Below are 26,466 nucleotides of genomic sequence, written 5' to 3' on the forward strand. Positions count from 1 at the left end.
GATTAATAGTCTACCTATCCCTGAAGGCAGACTTGTTATTAGTTTCCTCTAAAACATATGAGTAGTGAGTAAAATGGGGTAGCTACCAAGGAATGGGAGCTGAATATGGAGGAGGCAACTTCAAGCAAAGCCCACCAGAGTAGGTTTGTATCACTGTATTCTCCTTCTTTTTCTTATCTTCTTTGAGATATTATCTATTTATCCTCATTCTACAAGAGATTTCAGGCAGGCATGGGCCATCAGTAGGAGGATGTTAGGGATAACAGAAAGATTATTGGATTCGGAATTCAGTGTTTAAGGCATGGGTCTGTCATATCGCATCTCTGTGACCTTGGGGAACTTCCACATCTCATATCTGAAACTCAGTGTCTCTCATCAGATAAATGGAAATAATATTTACCCTATCTACCTCACAAGGTTTTTATGATCAAAGAAAAGAACAGAAATTTAGTAGCAGTTTCTAGTTTATAATGAAAATGTAAGTTGTTACTATTTTTTTCATGGCCAGCATAATTTAATGAGAAATAGAGATTTCAGAGCAATCACTCAGAGCAGTAGATTTGCTTAGGAAAAACCTCCAGTTGCAGAAAAAAGCAGCAGCAGTGGCTTTTAGATATATGGTGCTGAGTACAAGAAACAATGACTTTGGAATAGCTGGAGAAAGACCAGATGGATGCCTCTGTGATCAAAGGAGTTATTTTTAGAAACATTTTCAGTATCCCAGGACAGTGTCATGTGGGGAGAGATTATGCTCTGCAGTGTAATGCACTGCACTAGTTATTCTGCTTGGAATATCCAGAGGTAAAAAGTGTGGGCTTTGGAACAGACAGATACCAATTTGCCATGCAACCTTGAGCTAATCATTAACCTCTTTGATCCCCAGGTTTCTCATATGACAAACAGGATAATAACACTGATCTCATAATATCTGGAGTATGGTTATATAAGTTGGTATCTACACAGTGCTCAGTGATGCCTGGCACACAGCATCTGCTTACTAAATGATAACTTGCTTGGTTACCTGCAGTAACTAGTAAAACAAGTGGACAATAATAGGAACACCTTATCTCGGAAGCTTTCTTTATGCTTCATATATCCATAAACATTTTGAATAGAGTTCTTTATATGCTTAAAGAAAATTTGGAGATGGCATTAAGATATTTAAAACCAGACAGTGATTTCTGAACCTCTGTAAGTGTCAGCATGCTTGGCTTTATGTTTTAAAATTTATTTCTATTACCAGAATAATTTGGATATAAAATTAATTTGGATACAAACAAGTAGCCATCCATTTAGCTATCAATACGTTAATTTATCAATGTAGTCTTTACCTCTTAAGATTTTATAAGGCCTCTTTTTAGAAATATAGCTATGCTTCATTTTTAAAATCCAAAAAATTTAATGGTTCTTAGAAATTTGGAAAATCAATTTGGTCTTTATATGCCAATTTTTGTTTTTATTTGTACTTGCCAGTGAATTCATAAATTAATACTTCAGTGTTAGCATCTGTAATGATGATTTTTCAAGACAGAGCAAGTGTCTCTGAATCATTGGACCTAGGCTGAGTAACATTCATCTTACATTCATACATAGCTTTAGTACTAAATATATTTTGTTCTATTTGAATTCTTTGAAATCTGTATTCATGGCATAAAGTCTATCTTACAATTAGATATTTTTATAGGTTGAAATTGAGAACTTTGTTTCTGGACCTGGAAACATTATAAAAATGTCAATCCACTTGGGAATTCCAAGTAGACTTTGTACTCTAATAAAAGCTGTAGTTATTGTGCAAATGAATGAAATTTTACGATGATTGTAATCATTTATAAACAGTGGTAATTACCCAACCCTGTGGTTTAGTATAATAGAAAGATCACAGGCCAAGAGTTAGGTGTAGGTTCTAAATGCTAAGCATCTTCATTACCTTGGGCAAATCACTTAACCTTCCTGCCTTCAACTTCTTTTTCTGTGAAATAAGGGAGTTGTATTTGATGATTATTGAGTTGCCATTAAGTTTTAACATTTTATGTTTCTACCCTCATATATAACATGTTGTGTGTGTTTTGAATAAAGAATCAAATCAGGTCACAGTTGGAAAACAGAATAGCTTGTAGCAAATTTATTAACATTTACTGCCCAAATATTATTTTTAAGTTTAGGTAAGACATTCTTCCTTTATAAAAAATAGTCATTGTTTAAAACTATTGAGTAAGGACAGACTCCAGAGAACAAACTCCAAACATGTAACTTATGATTTTGTCTGAGGTTAAAGTACATTGTTTTATATAGGTAGTTATGACTATAGCAAACTATATTGATAATTGAGATGTAAAGAGGTTCGTTTTGAGTAAATGTGATAATGTTCTTTACTTTTATAAATATTACATCGAATGCTTTCTCCCTTCCTGACGTAAATGAATAACTTTAATTATAGACATTATTATCTATATATGCATGTTCTGTTACAGCAAATGACCATCAACTGGATAAAATTCATTAATAATCCCATCAGTATTTGTCCATTTGTTGACACATGTTCTCTAATGGCCTGTTCTTAACTATGCATCACAAAAATACTTAGCACAGCCAAAAAAAAAAAAAAAAAGCTTAAAAAGTTCAATAATGATAAGCATTGGTATCAACAAACGTTGTTGGATGTGTAAACAGCCATCAGTAAAGACAGCTTGTATACAATTCTGAAAAGGCGGTCATTGATGGTTGTTAACCTGTTGGTGGACTTTGGCCATGGCATGTTTACTCAAGCTGCAATAGTATTTATGATACAAACTCCCCTTAAATGTAGCAGCATCAATTTCAACCGATTAGATTGCTTCCATAAATATGCACAAGAAAGTAACAATTTAAGGAGACAACTGACATGATGCAGGAGCCAGAGATCAGTCACAATAAGAAATATATTCAGGCTTAAGCAATGGGACGTCAAGAGATGCCTGATCTCTGTCAAGCAACAAGGCTGACATGATTGTTGAGGTAAAGAAGACATGCTGTGACCTTTACTATGATACCAGGCTTTGGTAGAGAAAGAAAACATGGCTTTTTGTGAAAACAGAGAAAAAGAGGGAACTTTAATTATAGTTACTGTGGTGAATAGCTAAATATGGAAGTATCCTTAAGGTAAGCCTAAATTCAAAGAAGAACTTGTTGTTACTTACATGGCCTTTTTAATGATACTTCCAAGTGCTGTCAGGCCCTAGGATGTTAGTAAAATGGTTCCACTATAGAAAGAATGTGGATGCAGGATGTTGGAGGCAACCAGTCAGGGACCAGTGTCAAACCAGGTGTGTCTGAAACACCGACAACAACAAGAGCCACCAAACCGAAATCATCTTAAACAATAAGAAAATTTACCTGGACTCCAGAGGTAAGGTAGACCACTATGTTAATTTATTTTATTTATTTTTATTTTTTTATTTTTTAAGATGGAGCCTTGCTCTGTCACCCAGGCGGGAGTGCAGTGGCATGATCTCGGCTCACTGCAAACTCCACCTCCAGGGTTCAGGCCATTCTCCTGCCTCAGCCTCCCGAGTAGCTGGGACTACAGGTGCCCGTCACCATGCCCGGATAATTTTTTGTATTTTTAGTAGAGACGGGGTTTCACCGTGTTAGCCGGGATGGTCTTGATCTCCTGATCTTGTGATCAGCCCGCCTCAGCCTCCCAAAGTGCTGGGATTACAGGCATGAGCCACCATGCCCGGCCCACTATGTTAATTTAATCCATTTACTCCAATTTTTTTTCTTGCCATTTTCCTTTTTTTTTTTTTTTGAGCCAGAGTCTCGCTTTGTAGCCAGGCTGGAGTGCAGTGGCGCGATCTCAGCTCACTGCAACCTCCACCTCCTGGGTTCAAGTGATTCTCCTGCCTCAGCCTCCCAAGTAGCTGGGATTACAGGTGTGCACCACCACACCCAGCTAATTTTTGTATTTTCAGTAGAGACGGGGTTTCACCATGTTGGCCTCAATCTCCTGACCTCGTGATCCACCCGCCTTGGCCTCCCAAAGTGTTGGGATTACAGGTGTGAGCCACCACACGCAGCCGCCATTTTCTTAGTTCTTCTCTTCTTCCTGTATGTTGTTTACATGGGTGATATTGAAGGGTTGCCCTAGAATGAGACCTCATATCTACTAATAAGATAATTGAGGGAGTTAAAATATTGCTTTTGGGGATTTCTTCTGAAAAGATCAAAGAATAACTTCCAGAAGCCATGGAAAAACCCCTTCTGTGTCTAATTGACTCATTTGACTTCATGTGACTGGTCTGGAGCTCATTATAGCAAGGGAGATGGGATGGCCTTTAAATGAATCAAGCCCATCTCTGAGGGTAGATGTATGAATAGCTTTGACTCTGTGTGTAGGAGGAGTGAATACCTGAAGAAAATCAAAGTTCTTTTAGGAGGACAGAAGAGAGAAAGGAATGGATGCCTATGACACTTTTCTGGAATCTATCCTTACCAGTTTTTTGAGGTTGGGCAAGACAGTCAGACACTTTGAGCTTTATTTTCCTTGTCCATATAATGGGGGCTACTCAGGTACTTGATATTAATTTTCTCTTTCCTTAGTAACAATACTTCCTTTTTGTTCTGGTTGGAAAAGTGCCAGCTAAAGTCTACACTTCTTAGTCTACTTGGCCTCTAGGGCTTTTGGGAAATCTGCTTAAAAGATGAACTGACAGCTGTGTAACTTTTTGGTCTTTACCTGTTTTATCTTGAATTTGGATATGATCATTAGAGCCCAGTCAGCCATTTTGGGTGGGAAGGTGATTTGGGAATGGAGACCATGAGCCAAGGTTGGTGGAGCAGAAAGATAGAAGGGCTCTGGGTCCTTCATGAGTCTAGGGTTGCCAGTTCAGCCCTGGACTTCTTACCTGGAGCCTTCCTTTATGCATGAGAAAAATTAACTTATAAATTCCTTAAGCCACTCTTAAGTATGTTTTACTAGCAGCAGAATACTCAAATGGTCCTCTCCAATCATCAGTGTTTATTTGTTAGTAAAGTTGACATTATCATGGCGAGTCATGGCCACTTAGATGGATGACCTGTCAAAGCTTTCCATATGGCCATACAGTAAATTGTTCTCTTTCAATGCAGATATTTGATGAAATAAAATAAAAATTTGATCCAATTAAATTATGCTTTTTATTCATTCCACAGATGAGTAGTTGAAAAGTAAGAGCATGCATGAGAAACTGACTTTCCAAAAAATGAGTGGAATTTCTTTTCCATACTGCTTCACTCTGCAACAGTATGCATCACAGCTTATGAATCAGATACTTCAGCATCAACTTTTTTCATGGAAAAGTGCATCATTTTGGAACAGAGAACTTCTGTGTTGTTGTAAAACCAAGTGAACAGTTCTTAAAATATCTTACGTCATATTAAATTTGAACTGCTGTTAAATTATGTCTGGAGCCACTCAGTGATGGCAGAAATGACTAAGTGCTTTGATTAGAAATTGTCTATGTTTATGCTAGGGGTTATTTGTGAATTTTATTCTGGAAAATTACACTAAGAGAGATTAGTATTCACTTTATCTTAAACTATCTTGATATGTAGCATCCACAAAGGGTGCATGAGTTGCTCTCTCCTTCATGCCTTCATGTTAAAAGGTAATGACCTCCACTTATGGTTGCTCTTGCTTTCATCTTACCCACTTTAAATCTTTACTCTGTACTCTGACTTCAATACCTGCTTGTGGCCCCTTTGGCTTTGGATGATCTCCTGGCATTTTTCACTGAGCACTCTTGCATGCTTTTGTTTCTTTCTCCGATTTTTCTTTTGACTTTGGGAGTTGACATTACTTTGAGTGAGATCATCTCCCTTAACTCCTGGCCCATAGAGCTTCCTTTCCCATCCCTCCAGCCACAGTTAGCTCCTAGATAATATTTTTGGATGCATAAAAATAGTTTTATTCTTCTTCTTTTGATTTAAGATGGTAACCTGAGTGAATGGGATGGGAGAGGCTTGGAGTTGGTGAGCAAGCCAAGGGAGGAATGAGGAAGTGATAGTAGAATTTAGCCCTTGATTTTAGTTTTGAAGCTTAATACATCCCTTAGGTTTTTATTTAGACTTATCATCAGCCTCTACCTGTCACTTATTTAAGCAACCGTTTATACAGCCTTTATGTGCCCAGTGCGATGCAAGTTGCTAGGAATAACCAAGTAGAAGTTGCAATCTCTGCCTTCCAGGAGCTTATTATCTAATGGGGGATGCAGAGAAGTTATAAAAAAAATTACAATTCATTGTGGTAGGTGCTACTGGAACACTCTAAGAGAATCGGGGATTGCTTAAAACATCCATTAGTGTTTATGGCTTTCATTTCATGAGCTGGCCTGAAAATAGTGCAGGGGTTGATCAATTTGGCAGGAATAATCAGACAATATTTATAAGACCCTTTTTACCAGCTGAAGACATTTTCCTTAAACGTGGTACAGTTCTTAGAATGGTATGTTTTCCCACTCATGCAACCGAGAAATGGAGGGTTTCTCTCCTTGGTGCTGAAACAGATATTTTCGGGTAGGAAGAGTGGATTTTGTAAACAGCACTGGTTTCTAAAATTGGTGATGAGGGGCAGAGAAGAAATCATTTATCTAGAGGACAGATTGGACAGAGGGTGAGCAGGCTCCATTTTGACAAATGGGGATGGCAATGCTGATGAGCAGTCAGCACAGAGACAGAGCACTAGTCCTTCTTAGTCTAATTCATCTTATAATTAATTGGCTCCAAAGAAGGCTCCCCACACAAGTGTGGGGGCAGCACAGTGAGTAGAGGTGCTCTCCATCCCCATGTCCTGATGCAGCAGATGCCATGGCTATGTGTAGGCAGTAAGGGGTGGGTGTCTGAAAACATGCAGTATAGCAGCTGCTCGTGGCCCCACTTTCTTAGTGGCTGCTGGCGGGGTTGTGGCCAAGACCATCTTCATAAATGCATCAATTCTGGGGACAGACTGAAAAAAATATTGCTTAAACATGGGCTTCTTTGCATCCCATAGCCATATGATGTCAACACTTTTCTGTTGACAAAGAACTTGTATCTCTTTCTTTTTCTAAGACAAGTGTGGAGTTAGCATAGTGTAGCAGAAAGCTAGACAGACCTGGAAGCTCAGTTTATTTATTTGCTAGCTGTATGGTTTGGGGGGAAATTAATTAATTCTCTGAGCATTGGTTTGCTAATTGATAAAATGCATAAGAAACTTAACTTTGAAATTGTAGTGAGGATTTACTGGCAGAACACATGTGAAGTGCCAGCACAGTTTCTGACAAACAGTAGGTGCCCCATAAATGGTAGTTATTAAATTTAAATATTACTATTTCCAGAAAGGGTTTTTTCCTCTTGAAGATGGGTATGTGGGCAGAGAATCAGAAAGCATTATATTTTGATAGAAGCCAGTACAGTCTCATTGCAGGTGAGGCCAGTGCACCTTTGTTTTCTCTTACGCTTGATGGGAGAGAAGCTGACTGACAAACAAACCATGAGGGCTCAGGCTGTAAGGTAATGAGTTCTAAAGGGCTTTGAAGCTAGGTTTCTTATACATGGTAGTCTATAAATGGATTATTCTCTTTTCAGATTTCCTTTTCTTCTTTTGCACTCTGAGACACAGAATTAATTTCATCATATCTACTCCTAAATTCATGCCTCACTATCATTGGTTCATAGAAAATATTTCCTTTGTTTATGTTTTATTTCATTACTTTCTCTCTTCTTCATCTCATATCACCAGGCTCCCATCAGTCACTCAAGGGCACCCAGTTTTGCTTGTCTTATGAATGCCTATTTCACTATTCTTATGTTTATTTACACATATGTGTAAGTGAAAGTACATGATATTTTTGCGTGTGCATTTTAAATGTACAGAAATGGTATTTGGTCAGAAATCTTGCTTTGTTACTTATTTTGAAGGTAAGAATTATTTGAGTTTCATTTTCATTGCAGTATGTAGATTTGGTTTATTTCTCAGATACCTGCATAAATTTCCATTTTATGTGTATACTGAATTTTATTTATGAATTCCCCTGGTGGTTACTTCTTACTCTTTACTCTTTCAAATCATGCTCAATTAATAATCATTTACATGTTTCCTTGTGCATTTATATGAGAGTTTCTGTGGATCTATATCCAGGAAGGAAATGATAGAGTTCTAGAGTACAAGCTCTGTAGGCCTGATTACTTTCCAAAAAGGCTGTACTAGTTTGCATTTCTACTAGCAGTGCAAGGATATTTTTGTCTTTGCACATCCTCATCAGCACTTGACATTGTTTGGTTTTCTATTTTTTGCCAGCTGGATGTGTGTAAAGTGGTATCTATTGTTTTATTTGAGTTTCTCTGGGACTGGTGGTGTTATACATGTCTTTATGTAGTTATTAACTAACTGTATTTTCTTTACTCTAAAATTGCTTTATTATTATTTTACTGCTTTCCTATGTCCTTGCCTTTTTTGTATTACAGAATTCTTTGTACATTTTAGATATTAACCTATTGTCAGTCTTGGAAATGATAAAATATCTTCTAGAAAGTCACTGGTCTGTTAATTTTGTCTTTAGTGTCTCTTTCTTTCTTGCTAGCTTTCTTGCTTTCTTTCTCTTTTTTCTTTCCTTTCTTCCTTTCTCTCTCTCTCTGTCTCTTCCTTCCTTCTTCTTCTTTTTTTTTTTTTTTGAGACAGGGTCTCACTCTGTTGCTTAGGAGGTAGTGCAGTGGCTCACTGCAGCCTTGACCTCCCCAGGCTTAGACGACTGTCCTACCTCAGCCTCCTGAGTAACTGGGACTACAGGCGCATGCCACCACGCCTGGCTAATTTTTGTTATTTTTTGCAGAGATGGGTTTTTGCCATGTTGCCTAGGCTGGTCTTGAACTCCTGGTCTCAAGTGATCTACCTACCTATAGCCTCTCAAAGCTAGGATTACAGGTGTGAGCCATCATGTCTGGCCTAGGGTCTTTCTGATGAACAGAAATATTTTGTCTGTCATAGTTGAATTTAGCAAAACTTTCAGGTTGGGTTAGTATTGAAATATAGACATATAATTTTGCACAAATTCTAAGTCTACAGCTTGATTATTTATCACAAAATGAACATGCCTATGTTCTTCTCCACTGACAAGAAATAGGACATTACAAATATATGTCTCTCTTTTGCTCTCTTTCCTTTACTAACTCCCCTTTCTTCTCTAAAGTTAACAACTATGTAAGTTATCCATTTCTGCATAACAAATAACCTTAAATGTAGTGACTTAAAATAATAAACATTTATTATCTCACAGTTTCTGAGTGTCAGGGATCTAGGAACAGCTTAGCTAGTTGGTTCGAGCTGAGGTCTCTCATGAGATTGCAGTGAAGTTGTTGGCCAGGGCTGCAGTCATCCCAAGGCTTTGTTAAAACTGGAAAATCTGCTTCTAAGAAGTCTTACTCATAGGGCTGTCGGCTGGAGTCCTCAGCTCCTCACTCACTGTTGTAGAAGACCTCAGTCCCTCACCACATGGGCCTTTCCCTAGGGCTCCTCACAATGTGGTAGCTAACTTCCCCAGGGTGAGGTAGGAGAGGGATAAATAGATAGGTAGATAGGTAGATGGATGGATAGAGAGATAGATAGGCGCTGTAGTGCCTTTTCATGACCTGGGCTCTGAAATTGCACTTTCACTTCATTCTATTTATTAGAAGCTATTCTTTAAGTATAGTCTACACTCAAGAGGAGGAGAATTAGATGCTACTTCATAAAGAAAGAAATACAAAAAAATTTGTGAATATATTTTAAAAACCATCACTGCAACTATTTTTACTTTTAACATCTTTTAGTTTTGCTTTGTGAACTTTATGTAAATAGAATTATATAGTTTATTCTTTTAATTTTTTTTTTTTGAGACAGAGTCTCGTTCTGTCGCCCAGGCTGGAGTGCAGTGGCACGATCTGGGCTGACTGCAAGCTCTGCCTCCCGAGTTCATGCCATTCTCCTGCCTCAGCCTCCTGAGTAGCTGGGACTACAGGTGCCCACCACGACACCCAGCTAATTTTTTTGTATTTTTAGTAGAGATGGAGTTTCACCGTGTTAGCCAAGATGGTCTCGATCTCCTGACTTCGTGATCTGTCCACCTTGGCCTCCCAAAGTGCTGTGATTACAGGCGTGAGCCACCATACCCGGCCTCTTTTAATTTTTTAAATATGGTAAGAAGTGAAAAGTCCACTTAATTTTCTCAATATACTGACTTCTCATCCCAATACCATTTTCTAAATAGTACATTCTTTCACTATTGATTTGGTTGGTCACTTTGATTATATGCCAAATGAGAAATGATAGTCACTCATATCAGTGTGGGAGTGACGCATTTGGTAAGAAATGGCCAGATTCTGGGTATTTTTTTGGAAGGCCCTTTTAAAATGTAATTTTCAATACAACTCTATGACTTAGGTACAGAAAAGAATGCACATACTCTGGACATCCCATGAGAGTGACAAAGGTTCCTAATTCTTTTGCTTGGCCTACGAGTACATCATTTTAATCATAGATAGTCTTTTTTAAGGAAGGGCAGCAATCTGTTATAAGTTTTCTTGACACTAGGCCAGACATGGTGGCTCACACCTGTAATCCTAGTTTTGAGAGGCCTAGGAGGTAGATCACTTGAGACCAGGAGCTCAAGACCAGCCTGGGCAACATGGAAAAAACCCATCTCTGCAAAAAATACAAAAATTAGCCAGGCGTGCTGGCATGCGCTTGTAGTTCCAGCTACTCCAGAGGCTAAGGTGGGACAGTCATCTAAGCCTGGGAAGGATCAAGGCAATGATGGGTAACTTCTTGACATTATCATATAAAGCTGCTCACACATTGGCAAACAAGGGTAAGGGAAATGTATATCTATGCAAGTAAGCTATTCCAAAAGCAAGTTAAGTTCTCTCTTCTTTTCCTAAAAACTTAAAAAAATCATAAATAGGTGTTGAATTATTAAATAACTTTTCAATGTCTGCTGAGATAATTACTTACATGTAGTGCTATAATGTGGTGTAAACACATTATGATATTACAGATTTTTAAATGTTCACTGCATTTCTGTGTTAAATCCTACTTGAGCATTATAACATTCTATTTAATATGCTAGTTAGTTAGCTAAAGTAGTAGGTGCTTTTGTGTCCTTCTCATGCTGACTTGGTATGGACCATTTCTGTGCATGACAAGCTGACTAGCAGCATCTGTGATTCTTGGCCTCAGAGTTTTCTGTGGTCACTAGGCCTCCCCTGCCTGAGTGCATGTCAGACTGTAAGCACCAGACCAATAACACTTCTTCTATCTCAGGAATAGCCATCAACGAATGACTGATATATTGGGAGAATAAAGGACCCAGTTTCCATGTCCTTCAGGAGGAATAACACTGAGGCATGTGTTCTACACTGGCTTTCAGTTTAACTCAATAGATTAAACTCAAGTTACTCACAGTGGTAACTTGTTTGAAAGTGCATTTGCTTCCTTCCTCTTACTCTTTCACCTCTTCACTCACTCACTGCTGTTTCTTTGCATCACCTTCCAAATAAAAGCATTGCCCATGAATCCTTATAATAGGATCTGCTTTGAGGGATCTCAAAGTAAGACAGTTAGCATTTTTTTTTTGGCTTTTGTATTTTTGTTCAAAAGTGAAATTGGCCTGTAAATTTTCAAGTCTTATGGTGCCCTTTCCCAGTTTAATTACCAAGATTATACAATCTGAATAAAGCCAGTTGGACAGCTTTTCCTTTTTACTTCTTAAACAACTTATATCAGAGAGTAATTATCTCACTCAAAGTTTGATAGAACTCATAATATGAAATCATCTGGGTGTGATTCTTTTTTTGGAGGAAAGAGGGAGCTTTGATTGCAATTATAACTTCTTGGATGGTAAATGGCTTATACAAGTTTTTTATTTCTCCTTGTGTTGATTTTGTCATTTTAAAATATATTGTAAGAAAATTATTCATTTAAACTATGATTTAAAATTTTGTAGTTTATAGCTGTTCGTGATAGTCATATAAGTGGTGTGGTAGAGCTGGTTAATATTGGTTCGTGAGGGCTGGTGATTGTTAAAGTTTTAAGAAATTCATGAGTAGTTGATTCCACACTGGTAACTTAACATTGGCCATAGTTGAATTATTTACATCATGGAAATTTGCAAGCTCTATATATCAGGATTGTTTTTTTTTCTGATAAACTGGATGTTATAAAGTTACCAGCAAACCACTGACTATTCTTATACCTCACTAATCCCTCCTACATCTCCTTTGTTGATTTCTCCTCTTTTTCCTAACCTCTTAACATTTCAGTGTCCCATTGCACTGTTCTTGATTCTTTTTTCTGTCTACACTGACTCTCCACCCTTAACCCTGGTAATCTAATCTTTTCTCAGGGCTTTAAAAACCATGCATATGCCTATGAGTTCCCAATTTTTATCTCCAGCCTGAACCTTTCTCCTGAGTGCTACTCACATATCCAGCTGCTAACTCAAAATCCTTTCCTGAGTGTCTCAAATTTAACATGATCAAAACTGACCTCTTGATATACTCTGTAAAGCCTGCTGCTTTGCAGTCTTTCCTACCCACATTGATGACCACTTCATATTCCAGTTGCACAGACTAAAAAGTCGTATACATCATGATATCTGTCTTTCTCTCATACCCCATATCCAATCCATTAGAAAACTGCACTGGCTTGGCCGGGTGCAGTGGCTCACTCCTGTAATCCCAGCATTTTGGGAGGCCGAGGCGGGTGGATCACGAGGTCAGGAGATCAAGGCCATCCTGGCTAACACGGTGAAACCCCGTCTCTACTAAAAATACAAAAACAAAATTTTCCAGGTGTGGTGGTGGGCGTCTGTAGTCCCAGCTACTCAGGAGGCTGAGGCGGGAGAATGGCGTGAACCTGGGAGGCAGAGCTTGCAGTGAGCTGAGATCGCACCACTGCACTCCAGCCTGGGCTACAGAGCGAGACTCCGTCTCAAAAAAAAAATAAAATAAATAAATAAATAAATAATAAAAAAGAAAAAAGAAAAGAAAACTGCACCAGCTCTACATTAAAAAAATGCATATCTGGCAATTTCTCACTATTCCAGCCCAAGTTTCCATAATCTCTTAGCTGAATCATTTCTGTAGCCACCCACTGAGTTTCTACACATTCACCCTTGCCTTCCCTAGAGTTTCTCTTCCAGTTTTTCAAGTACTGAGAATGATTTTTTTTATTCTCAGACAGAGTCTCACTCTGTCATCTAGGCTGGAGTGCAGTGTTGCGATCACGGCTCACTGCAGCTTTGACATCCTGGGATCAGGTGATCCTCCCACCTCAGCCTCTTGAGTAGCTGGGACTATGGGCAAGCGCCACTATGCCTGGCCAGTTTATTTTTTATTTTTTTATTTTTTGTATTATTTTGTAGAGATGGGATTTTGTCATGTTACCCAGAATGATCTCCAACTCCTGGCCTCAAGTGATCCACATGCCTTGGCCTCCCAAAGTGCTGGGATTACAGATGTGAGCCACCACACCCAGCCAGGTCCTTTTAATTTTTAATTTATTTTTAAATTTTAATTTTTTAACTTTATTTTTTTTTTCTTTTGAGACAGAGTCTTGCTCTGTTGCCCAGGGTGGAGTGTAGTGGCATGATCTTGGCTCACTGCAAACTCCGCCTCCCAGGTTCAAGTGATTCTCCTGCCTCAGCCTTCCGAGTAGTTGGGATTATGGGTGTGCACCACAAACCTGGCTAACTTTTGTATTTTTAGTAGAGATGGGGTTTCACCATGTTGTCCAGGCTAGTCTTGAACTCCTGACCTCAGGTGATCTGCCCACCTTGGCCTCCCAAAATGCTGGGATTACAGGCATAAGCCACCAGACCTGACCCCAGATCCTTTCTGGGGATGTAATTCAGATCATGTTACTCCTTTGCACAGAACCCTCTGATGGCTCTCAGTTTCACTCAGAGCACAAGCCAGAGTCCTCAAGATCACCCCAACTTACCTCTCTGACCACATCTCCTGCTGCATATCCCTCCACTCAAAATCTGCTCCAGTCACCCTGGCGTCCTCATTGTTCCTCAAAAAATCCAGGCAAGCTCCTGCCTCAGAGCCTCTGTCTGGAATGCTCGTCCCCAAGATAACTGCACAGCCTGCTCACTCACTTCATTAAAAACATATATGACATTTTCATTGTTGATTCTTTCTCTCCCCCGCCACAATGTGAGCTCTACTAGGGTAGGAATTTTCTGTTTGTTCACTGATGTATCCCAACAGTGAAGCAGAGAATGCCTGACATGCTGTGATGTTCAGTATCTGCCAAATAGATCATAAATCAGTGAATATGAGGCCTTGCCTTCTTGTTAAGATTCAGGGCTATAACCACTGTCTCCAGGATAGCCTAAGGTAATGCAACGCATTAGTCCATGCTGTTGTGGTGCACCTTCTGAAACCTATGCCAGTGCTGTCTTTTCCCCTAATGGGAGGAAGAAGACCTAGTTTTCTTAGGAAGTCACAGTTGGAACCACTCCATTTCCTCTTCACCATCTGTGAGCGTGAAATCCTGCTTGGAATGAGAAGAAACTTTATTCTTCTGTTGGCTGGGAGCCCCATCTTCTTTTGGGGCCCTTTTGAGACAAGGGAGATTGGAAGGCAAAATTAAAGCTTGGTTGGGTTTTACCTGTGGTTACCAGACCATCTTCCCTAAATTAATGCCCACACTTTAAAGAAAAAACAGCCTGCATTTAACCCCACTCCTGAAATTAGAAAGTTAGCTCTTAATCAGGAAAATACATGCAGGTAATGGCTCAGGAATAGGTTTAACAATGAATGTATTGAGAAGATAAAACTCAGTGGAGTATAACAGTTTTATTTTCCCAATTACCACTATAAGCTATGCTCCGATAAGTCCCCTATTTCCTGTTTCTTAACACCATATTCAGCTGATTTCATAACTTTCTTGTCACCTTTGTTTAATTATGAGTCCAGTTCAATTTCTAAGTCTATTTAAAACTTTCAATTTCTAAGTCTATTTAAAACTCATCCCCCGACCCTGTCCTTGCAGCACAGACCTGAGCAGTGACCTTTAAATGTTGGAAGCAGAGGAGGATGAAGATGCACACACCCCTATCTCTCCTCCTCTTTTAGGTACTCATCCTCTGGGGTGCTAGGAGTCAAGAAGGAGAGATGGTGCAGGCAGGGGTCATCTTACATAACTGGCCACATATGTGTGGTAGGGAGATATCTCTGACCAAGCTCTGTTCTGATCTGGTTCTGTTAGATGCTGGTGGCCCAAACAGATGGGGTAGTTGATGGGGTAGTTTTGCATAGGTAGTCTTCAAGGTTTCCTTGAGGGTGGTGTCAAATTCTGTCTGTTTCCCGGCCCACGACCACCCTTGGTACTGAGATCCCCTCAGAGAGAGACAATTGGATCTCTTTTTCAGCCTGGCTAGCAGTCCAGGTTCCTACCCTCCTCTCCCAATAGGGTATTACCTCACTTGGCTCATAGCTGCCCTGACAACCTTACATCTCCTCTCTCCTGCTACAGCTTCTATGTTCCTTTTCATGATGCTATAAAAATCATTGAGGTATGTTCCATACCTTCTGAGAGTCATGGTGGACTGGGATGAGGCTGTCCCAGTCTCATCATTTTCTTACATGATATGGTATATTATTGATATTTCTCACTCTGCTAACTCTTTTTTAGAAATATCCAGACAAAAAGCAAGCACTAGTCTCTGGGTTCAGAAGCATCTCTTCTGCCCCATCAGTGGACATATGTTTAGGTATCCTAACAATTCTGTTACCACTCTCTGCGATTCCAGAACAAGATTGAGATTGTGTGGCTCTGTAAGCATCCATCCAGAGGTGGAGTGATAGCCTCCACTTCTTGCAGGGACCTTCAATCTCTACAAGTGATGCCCGTGAAGCCTTCTCTCCTTCACTTGATATTACTAGGTAATGTGGCAGTTGTAGGTAGATATCCACTAGGATTTGTGCTTCCCTCTCTTCCCCATGTCTCTCAGAAAGAGCTTTCCAATCAGGGCCTACAATTCCCAGCCCCTTTGCCTCCAGGTGTGCCCACATGACTGGTTCTCACCAATGGGTTGTGAGCAGAAGTGATGTGGTGCATATCCAGGTCAAAGCATTTAGGAGGCAGATGTGCTCACTTCAGGCGCTCTTGCCACTTCCAACGGCTGGTTGCAGATCATGAGGACCCAGGAAATGATGGCAAAACAATATGATGGAAAAACTCAGAATCCCTGAATCACGTACAGAGGAAAGCCCTTGGTGGAACTACAACACCTGCTTTGAACTGTTATGTGAGAAAGAAACTATTGTGTTTGAGCCATAATGGAATTTTGGATTCACCGATTACAGCAGCTAATGTTACACCAAATATTACATGTGAGAAGAAAGTGCCTGTCCTCCCTGCTGGTAAACAGAGGAAAAGCCTCTCACCATGAACACAGAACTCCCTGCAATGGGACACATCACATGTGCTTTCCCAACTTCCAGCCTTCTTGTGTAAACTGGGCTGGTGTGATGCTTGGGAGTAGTAGGGATGTTTTGTTAGCTCTTAGTATGTTCTTGGGCAGTGCATGGTGCAACCATAGATGGCACTGTTAGAAAGTAAAGATAACTGGCCACCAATTCTAGGACAATAGAAAGCATTTCAGGAATTTTTGAAAACACGAAAACATGTTTAGAGATCCTTAGTATCATCACCACAAAGCCTTGAGGGAGTCAGAACCCCACAGATATGGACCCCTGCTTCTGTTGTTTAGAGTTGCCTCTGTTCCCTGCCACTGGCATGATAGTGTTGACACTTTATGAGGGGCAGCTGTGATGACTCCAGTGACTGAAGAAATGTCTTATGCTTTGATGCCTGGAGGAACTATTTATGGGATATCATCCAGGCCTGGCTTTGGTACCAGTGATTTAACAACTCTACAAAATGCCTCTCTCCTTTCTGCTACTGAACTAGAGTGTGGTTGGTGCCAGGACCAACAGAATGTGATTCACTGAGCCCAAGACATCAGTAGGGACATAGGAGGTACCGTCAGTTGTCAACAGGTGGTGGTCCAGATGGGTGGACCGTGGGTATCAGGGAGGTTCTGTGGGAGGCAAAGGGTGAGTGTTCCAGCAGGTGGGAGGACTGTGACATTGTTTAATTTATATAAGAAGCTTGTAAAATAAGAAATTGCAGGCTGAGGGTCAGCAGGACGTCTCTGAACTCTAGGAGGTGGGGATAAGTGGGAAAGCAAGGCAGGCTTTAGAAGAAACTGGCACAGGTTCAGGAACAAAGATGAGGACTCAGCCATTGGAACCTATAAGAAGCACAGGAAAAGACTGCATGAAACTATTTTTGAAGTTGTGTTGGGACTGAGTCACCAAGTGACTGTGCTGGGGTTACGTAATCCTTTCTAGTGTGAGAGAGAAATAGTGCCAGGCCCTGTCCCAGGGCTGAATCCACGCATCAAGGTTAAATGGTCCAAATTGAAAAGCTTAGAGGGCCACAGGTGCAGGGAGGCAAGCAGTCAAGTAGATTAACCCCTTACCGTGTCTGACATTCCCACTATCAGAGTTAAGCATTTAGGTTAAAACAGCATGCAAGGCCATTATTAAAATGCAAGTATTTCCCAAGAGAAGTAATTAACCTTGCCACATCTGCATATTATTAGAGTATCATTATAGCTAGTTCTGAAGGATTGAGAATTTCTTTGACCGATAAGTCCAGTATATAATGTGTCGGTGAGAATTAACTTATTTAGCTCTTACTATGTAATACTCTATTTTTTTATTTTTTATTTTAATAAAAAAGACATGTTTATTATCAGAATGTAGTTACTGTCATGCCTCCCTAACCTTACTTTTTTTTGTTTGATTTTGTTTTTGTTATACTTTAAGTTCTGGGATGTATGTGCAAAACGTGCAGGTTTGTTACATAGCTATACATGTGCCATGGTGGTTTGCTGCACCCATCAATCCGTCTTCTACGTTAGGTACTTCTCCTAATGCTATCCCTCCCCTTGCCCCCAACCCCCTGACAGACCCTGGTGTGTGATGTTCCCCTCCCTGTGTCCATGTGTTCTCATTATTCAATTCCCACTTACGAGTGAGAACATGCGGTGTTTGATTTTCTGTTCCTATGTTAGTTTGCTGACAATAATGGTTTCCAGCTTCATCCATGTTCCTGCAAAGGACATGAACTCATTTTTTATGGCTGCATAGTATTCCATGGTGAATATGTGCCACATTTTCTTTATCCAGTCTATCATTGATGGGCATTTGGGTTGGTTCCAAGTCTTTGCTATTGTGAATAGTGCTGCAATAAACATATGTGTGCATGTGTCTTTATACTACAGTTATTTATAATCCTTTGGTTATATACCCAGTAATGGGATTGCTGGGTCGAATGGCATTTCTGGTTCTAGATCCTTGAGGAATTGTCACACTGTCTTCCACAATGGGTGAACGAATTTACACTCCCACCAACAGTGTAAAAGCGTTCCTATTTCTTCACTTCCTCTCCAGCATCTATTGTTTCCTGACTTTTTAATGATCACCATTCTAACTGGTGTGACATGGTATCTCATTGTGGTTTTGATTTGCATTTCTCTAATGACCAGTGATGATGAACTTTTTTTCATATGTTTGTTGGCTGTATAAATGTCTTCTTTTGAGAAGTGTCTGTTCATATCCTTTTCCCACTTTTTGATGGGGTTGTTTTTTTCTTGTAAATTTGTTTAAGTTCCTTGTAGATTCTAGATATTAACCCTTTATCAGATGGATAGATTGCAAAATTTTTTCTCATTCTGTAGGTTGCCTATTCACACTGATGGCAGTTTCTTTTGCTATGCAGAAGCTCTTTAGTTTAATTAGATCCCATTTGTCAATTTTGGCTTTTGTTGCAATTGCTTTTGGAGTTTCAGTCATGAAGTCTTTGCGCATGGCATGCCTATGTCCTGAATGGCATTACCCAGGTTTTCTTCTAGGGTTTTTATGGTTTTATGTCTTACGTTTAAGTCTTTAATCCATCTTGAGTTAATTTTTGTGTAAGGTGTAAGAAAGGTGGCCGGGCGTGGTGGCTCACGCCTGTAATCCCAGCACTTTGGGAGGCCGAGGCGGGTGGATCACGAGGCCAGGAGATCGAGACCATCCTGACTAACACAGTGAATCCCCGTCTCTACTAAAAATACAAAAAAAAAAAAAAAAAATTAGCCAGGTGTGGTGGCAGGCACCTGTAGTCCCAGCTACTCAAGAGGCTGAGGCAGAAGAATGGCATGAACCCAGGAGGCGGAGCTTGCAGTGAGCCGAGATCGCGCCACTGCACTCCAGCCTGGGCAATAGAGCAAGACTTCGTCTCAAAAAAAAAAAAAAAAAAAAAGAAAGGGGTCCAGTTTCAGTTTTCTACATATGACTAGCAAGTTTTCCCAACACTGTTTATTAAATAGGGAATCCTTACCCATTGCTTGTTTTTGTCAGATTTGTCAAAGTTCTGATGGTTGCAGATGTGTGGTGTTATTTCTGAGGCCTCTGTTCTGTTCCATTGGTCTATATATCTGTCTTGGTACCAGTACCATGCTGTTTTGGTTACTGTAGCCTTGTAGTATAGTTAGAGGCCAGGTAACACGATGCCTCCAGCTTTGTTCTTTTTGCTTAGGATTGTCTTGGCTATACGGGCTCTTTTTTGGTTCCATATGAAATTTAAAGTAGTTTTTTCTAATTCTGTGAAGAAAGTCAATGGTAGCTTGATGGGATTCCCAATGATGGGAATAGCATTGAATCTATAAATTACTTTGGGCAGTATGACCATTTTCATGATATTGATTCTTCAAATGGAATGTTTTTCCATTTGTGTCTTCTCTTATTTCCTTGAACAATGGTTTGTAGTTCTCCTCGAAGAGGTCCTTCACCACCCTTGTAAGTTGTATTCCTAGGTATTTTATTCTCTTTGCAGCAATTGTGAATGGGAGTTCATTCATGATTTCGCTCTCTGTTTGTCTGTTATTGGTGTATAGAAATTCTTGTAATTTTTGCACGTTGATTTTGTATCCTGAGAATTTGCTGAAGTTGCTTATCAGCCTAAAGAGTTTTTGGGCTGAGACAGTGGGGTTTTCTAAATATACAATCATGTTATCTGCAAATAGAGACAATTTGACTTCCTCTCTTTTTATTTGAATACCCTTTATTTCTTTCTCTTGCCTGATTGTCTTGGCCAGAACTTCCAACACTATGTTGAATAGGAGTGGTGAGAGAGGGCATCCTTGTCTTGTGCCAGTTTTCAAAGGGAATGCTTCCAGCTTTTGCCCATTCAGTATGATATTGGCTATGGGTTTGTCATAAATAGCTCTTATTATTTTGAGATACATTCCATCAATACCTACTTTATTGAGTGTTTTTAGCATGAAGGGGTGTTGAATTTTATCAAAGGCTTTTCTGCATCTATTGAGATAATCGTGTGGCTTTTGTCTTTGGTTCTGTTTATGTGATGGATTACGTTTACTGATTTGCATATGTTGAAAATGGAGCCCCTTGGATCCCGGGGTGAAGCCGACTTGATCATGGTGGATAAGCTTTTTAATGTGCTGCTGGATTCGGTTTGCCAGTATTTTATTGAGGATTTTTGCATCGATGTTAATCAGAGATATTGGCCTGAAATTTTCTTTTTTTGTTTTGTCTCTGCCAGGTTTTGGTATCAGGATGATGCTGGCCTCATAAAATGAGTTAGGGAGGAGTCCCCCTTTTTCTATTGTTTGGAATAGTTTCAGAAGGAATGATACCAGCTCCTCTTTCTACCTCTGGTAGAATTTGGCTGTAAATCTGTCTAGTCCTGAGTTTTTTTGTTTTTTTTTGCTTGGTAGGCTATTAATTACTGCCTCAATTTCAGAACTTGTTATTGGTCTCTTCAGGGATTCAACTTCTTCCTGGTTTAGTCTTTGGAGGGTGTATGTCTCCAGGAGTTTATCCATTTATTCTAGATTTTCTAGTTTATTTGTGTAGAGGTGTTTATAGTATACTCTGTAGTTTGTATTTCTGTGAGATCAGTGGTAATATCCTCATTATCATTTTTATTTGTCTATTTGATTCTTCTCTCTTTTCTTCTTTATTAGGCTGGCTAGCAGTCTATCTATTTTGTTAATGTTTTCAAAAAACCAGCTCCTGGATTCTTTGATTTTTTTGAAGGGTTTTCTGTGTCTCTATCTTCTTCAGTTCTGCTCTGATCTTAGTTATTTCTTGTCTTCTGCTAGCTTTTGAATTTGTTTGCTCTTGCTTCTCCAGTTCTTTTAATTGTGATGTTAGGGTGTCAATTTTAGATTTTTCCTGCTTTCTCCTGTGGGAATGTAGTACTATAAATTTCCCTCTAGCACTGCTTTAGCTGTGTCCCAGAGATTCTGGTACGTTGTGTCTTTTTTCTCATTGGTTTCAAGGGACTTATTTATTTCTGCCTTAATTTCATTATTTACCCAGTAGTCATCCAGGAGCAGGTTGTTCAATTTCCATGTAGTTGTGCAGTTTTGAGTGAATTTCTTAATCCTGAGTCTAATTTGATTGCACTGTGGCCTGAGAGACTGTTATGATTTCTGTTTTTTCACATTTGCTGAGGAATGTTTTACTTCCAATTATGTGGTCTATTTTAGAATAAGTGCGATGTGGTGCTGAGAAGAATGTTTATTCTGTTGATTTGGGGTGGAGAGTTCTGCAGATGTCTCTTAGGTCTGCTTGGTCCAGAGCTGAGTTCAAGTCCTGAATATCCTTGTTAATTTTCTCTCCTGTTGATCTCTCTAATATTGACAGTGGGGTGTTAAAGTCTCCCACTATTATTGTGTGGGAGCCTAAATCTCTTTCTAGGTCTCTAAGAACTTGCATTATGAATCTGGGTGCTCTTGTATTGGGTGCATATATGTTTAGGATAGTTAGCTCTTCTTGCTGCATTGATCCCTTTACGATTATGTAATGCCCTTCTTTGCCTTTTTTTTTTATCTTTGTTGGTTTAAAGTCTGTTTTATCAGAGACTAGGATTGCAATCCCTGCTTTTTTTGCTTTCCATTTTCTTGGTAAATATTCCTTCATCCCTTTATTTTGAGCCTATGTGTGTCTTTGCATGTGAGATGGGTCTCCTGAATACAGCACACTGATGTGTCTTAACTCTTTATCCAATTTGCCAGTCGGTGTCTTTTAACTGGGGCACTTAGCACATTTACATTTAAGGTTAATATTGTTATGTGTGAATTTGATCCTGTCATTATGATGCTAGCTGGTTATTTTACCCATTAGTTGATGCAGTTTCTTTATAGTGTCGATGGTCTTTACATTTTGGTATGTTTTTGCCATGGCTGGGACCAGTTTTTCCTTTCCATATTTAGTGCCTTCTTCAGTAGCTCTTGTAAGGCCGGCCTGGTAGTGACAAAATCCCTCAGCATTTGCTTGTCTGTAAAGGATTTTATTTCTCCTTTGCTTATGAAGCTTAGTTTGGCTGCATATGAAATTCTGGGTTGAAAATTCTTTTCTTTAAGAATGTTAAATATTGACCCCCACTCTCTTCTGGCTTGTAGAGTTTCTTCAGAGAGATCCACTGTTAGTCTGATGGGCTTCCCTTTGTGGGTGACCCGACCTTTTTCTCTGGCTGCCCTTAACATTTTTTCCTTCATTTCAACCTTGGTAAATCTGACGATTATGTGTTTTGGGGTTGCTCTTATCGAGGAATATCTTTGTGGTGTTCTCTGTATTTCCTGAATTTGAATGTTAGCCTGTCTTGCTAGGTTGGGGAAGTTCTGCTGGATAATATCCCGAAGTGTGTTTTCCAACTTGGTTCCATTCTCCCCATCACATTCAGGTACACCAATCAAACGTAGGTTTGGTCTTTTCACATAGTCCCATATTTCTTGGAGGCTTTGTTCATTCCTTTTCATTCTTTTTTTTCTCTAATCTTGTCTTTATTTCATTAAGTTGATCTTTATTTCATTAAGTTGATCTTCTCTGATATCCTTTCTTCTGCTTGATTGATTTGGCTATTGATACTTGTGTATGCTTCATGAAGTTCTTGTGCTGTGTTTTTCAGCACCATCAGGTCATTTATGTTCTTCTCTAAACTGGTTATTCTATTTAGCAGTTCCTGTAACCTTTTATCAAGGTTCTTAGCTTCTTTGCATTGGGTTAGAACACGCTCCTTAGATCGGAGGAGTTTGTTATTACCCACCTTCTGAAACCTACTTCTGTCATTTCATCAAGCTCATTTTCCATCCAGTTTTGTTCCCTTGCTGGTGAGGAGTTGTGATCCTTTGGAGGAGAAGAGGCATTCTGGTTTTTGGAATTTTCAGCCTTTTTGTGCTAGTTTTGCCTCATCTTTGTGGATTATCTACCTATAGTCTTTGATTTTGGTGACCTTCAGATGGGGTTTTTGCGTGGGCATGCTTTTTGTTGATGTTGATGCTAATGCTTTCTGTTTGTTAGTTTTCTTTGTAACAGTCAGGTCCCTCTTCTGCAGGTCTGCTGGAGTTTGCTGGAGGTCCACTCCAGACCTGTTTGCCTGGGTATCACCAGCAGAGGCTGCAGAACAGCAAAGATTGCTGCCTGCTCCTTCCTCTGGAAGCTTCGTCCCAGAGGGGCACCTGCCAGATGCCAGCTGGAGCTCTCTTGTATGAAGTGTCCGTCAACTCCTGCTGGGAGGTGTCTTCCAGTCAGGAAGCACGGGGATCAGGGACCCACTTGAGGAGGCAGTCTGTCCCTTAGCAGAGCTTGAGCACTGTGCTGGGAGATCCGCTGCTCTCTTCAGAACTGGCAGGCAGGAACCTTTAAGCCTGCTGAAGCTGTTCTCCCAGCCGCCCCTTTCCCCAGGTGCTCTGTCCCAGGGAGATGGGAGATTTATCTATATGTCCCTGACTGGGGCTACTGCCTTCCTTTCAGAGATGCCCTTCCCACAGAAGAGGAATCTAGTGAGGCAGTCTGGCTACAGTAGCTTTGTCATGCTGTCGTGGGTTCCGCACCCAGTCTGAACTTCCTGGTGGCTTTGTTTACACTGTGAGGGGAAAGCCGCCTACTCAAGCCTCCGTAATGGTGGATGCTCCTCCCCCTACCAAGCTCCAGCATCTCAGTTTGATTTCAGATTACTGTGCAGGCAGTGAGCATTTCAAGCCAGTTGATCTTAGCTTGCTGGGCTCCATGGTGGTGGGATCCACTGAGCAAGATCACTCGGCTCCCTGGCTTCAGCCCTCTTTCCAGGGGAGTGAACGGTTCTGTCTCACTGGCATTCCTGGCACCACTGGGGTATGAAAAAAGAACTCCTGCAGCTAGCTTGGTGTCTGCCCAAACGGCTGCCCAGTTTTGTGCTTGAAACCCAGGGCCCTGGTGGTGTAGGTGCCAGAGAGAATCTTCTGGTCTACAGGTTGAGAAGACTGTGGGAAAAGCATAGTATCTGGGCCAGATAGCACCATCCCTCATGGCACAGTCCCTCACTGCTTCCCCTGGCTAGGGGAACATAATACTCTATTTTAAACCTGTATTTTATTTAATCATCCTATCATCATCTCCAGGTGTACATCATCATTTTTACATCACAGTAATTTGCCACAGGACACAGAGTAAGTGGCTGTAGTAAGTTGTATTATTGCTCAATCTATTTGCTATTTGGGAGTGTGTTAAATATCCCTGCTTTGGGCCGGGCGTGGTGGCTCATGCCTGTAATCCCAGCACTTTGGGAGGCCGAGGTGGGTGGATCACGAGGTCACGAGATCGAGACCAGCCTGATCAACATGGTGAAACCCCGTCTCTACTAAAAATAGAAAAATTAGCTGGGCGTGGTGGCACATGCCTGTAATCCCAGCTACTCGGAAGGCTGAGGCAGGAGAATTGCTTGAACCTGGGAAGCGGAGGTTGCAGTGAGCCGAGATTGCGCCACTGCACTCCAACCTGGTGACGGAGCAAGACTCCATCTCAAAAAAAAAAAAAAAAAAAAAATCCCTGCTTTTTTGGGGTCAGGCTTGGCCATATGATTTGTTTTGTCCATAAAATATAAATGGAAGTGATGTGAGCAGAAACTTTAAAAGCCAACATATGATTCCATTGTCTTTTTTTCTATTTCACAAGATCAATTTCCCAGATACTGGCTGCTCCTTTAGTCTGGGTCTGGAGATAATGACCACAGGGAAGACAGATGCAGCTGATATGTAGCCTGAGTGAGAAATAAACCTTTGCTATTCCAAGCCACTGAGATTTGGGGTTGTTTGTTACCACATCATGCCATAGCCTAAGTTGATTAGTACAGTAGCAAAGACAGGATTCTGACTCCAAAGCCCATGACTTTTCCTTCATAACACTCTACCTTCCAGTGGGAAAGACACAGAGGCTTAAACACTGTTTGTGCAGCATGTGGCATCTCCTCCCTCCTTTTACATATGCTAGTGAGAGCTTACGAAAGTGTCAGGAGAGTACAGTCAGCCCAGAGGACTTCTGTCTAACCATGAATGCTGGGTTCATGTAAACTGCACAGCAGATCTGACTCCCCAGGGTTCGTGTCAGCCTCTCCCTTCTTAGAAGCACTGAAGCAGGGGAGGGAGGGGCACAGTGATGACAGTGATGAGTTCCATATGTCTCAAGTGCTTTCCAGATGCGCCCTCTGGCTCAGCTTAGTGGGAGCTGGTGCCATCTGGTAGACAAGCACGGAGACTGTGAGTAGGGGGCCAGCCTTCCAGATCCAGTGTCCTCCCCACCTCGGGAGTAACTGGGAAGTCCCTGATCCCAGATAGGAAGTGGATACTTCCCTGTAGGAAGAGGAAAGGTCCAAGAGCCCCTCGTTCAAAACCAGATAGGTGTTCTTTGAGTGAAAAGCAAGCTGGACCTTGAGGCCAAATAAAATTTTGCTATTTAGAATGACTGGTTAAGTTGGAAAAACAAACAAGCAAATAAACCTCTGCAAGAAGGTAAATTAATCTAAAAAGTGGTCTAATCTTTCTTTTGTTAAAAAAAAAAAAAGATAGCCAGGCATGGTGGCAGGCACCTGTAATCTCAGCTACTCAGGAGACTGAGGCAGGAAAATCGCTTGAACCTGGGAGGTGGAGGTTGCAGTGAGCTGAGATCACACCACTGCACTCCAGCCTGGGCTACAGAGCAAAACTCTGTAAAAACAAACAAAAAAAAATCTATGGTGTTTTTCTTCTGTGGATTTAAACTGAGAAAATGGAGCTGACAATCCCTTTCTTTATTTAGATTTTCCCCTAGGATTTTGTGTTGCAGGGGAATATACCGGTCTAGGTCTATGTCAATGACCTGGGTCAATGACCTGGGGAATTGTTTTGGAGTCACTCTTGGTATTTGTTGCAGGGCCTAGGCAATCATGGAGCAGCTACAGCTGCCTCTGGCAGAGAGCAGTATGGATTGACTCTGCAGTTGTAATGTGACTGCAACCCCATTTGAGGAAAGGGTATTTGTTGTAGTCAACCTGCAGGTCACTAGGTCCATACTTTGCTTAGCTTTTAAACTGTCTTTGTATCATGACTTGAG

The 26,466-nt window shown here is 40.5% G+C and overlaps 1 long non-coding RNA gene across 2 annotated transcripts in view, besides 1 other annotated feature; it reads left to right on the plus strand.

The window, feature by feature from the left end:
* The window catches only part of SLC7A14-AS1 (SLC7A14 antisense RNA 1), a 287,921-nt gene that overhangs the window by 130,180 nt on the left and 131,275 nt on the right, over nt 1–26,466 (plus strand). The window lies entirely within an intron of this gene.
* Nucleotides 9,302–9,502: a silencer, noted in NCBI's record as "peak4918 fragment used in MPRA reporter construct". NCBI's record gives its function as "represses an SCP1 promoter by STARR-seq MPRAs in K562 erythroleukemia cells {active_cell/tissue: K562}" and the evidence as "EXISTENCE:reporter gene assay evidence [ECO:0000049][PMID:32103011]".

This window comes from Homo sapiens, chromosome 3 (assembly GCF_000001405.40).
Source record: "Homo sapiens chromosome 3, GRCh38.p14 Primary Assembly".
Taxonomy (NCBI): Eukaryota; Metazoa; Chordata; class Mammalia; order Primates; family Hominidae; genus Homo; species Homo sapiens.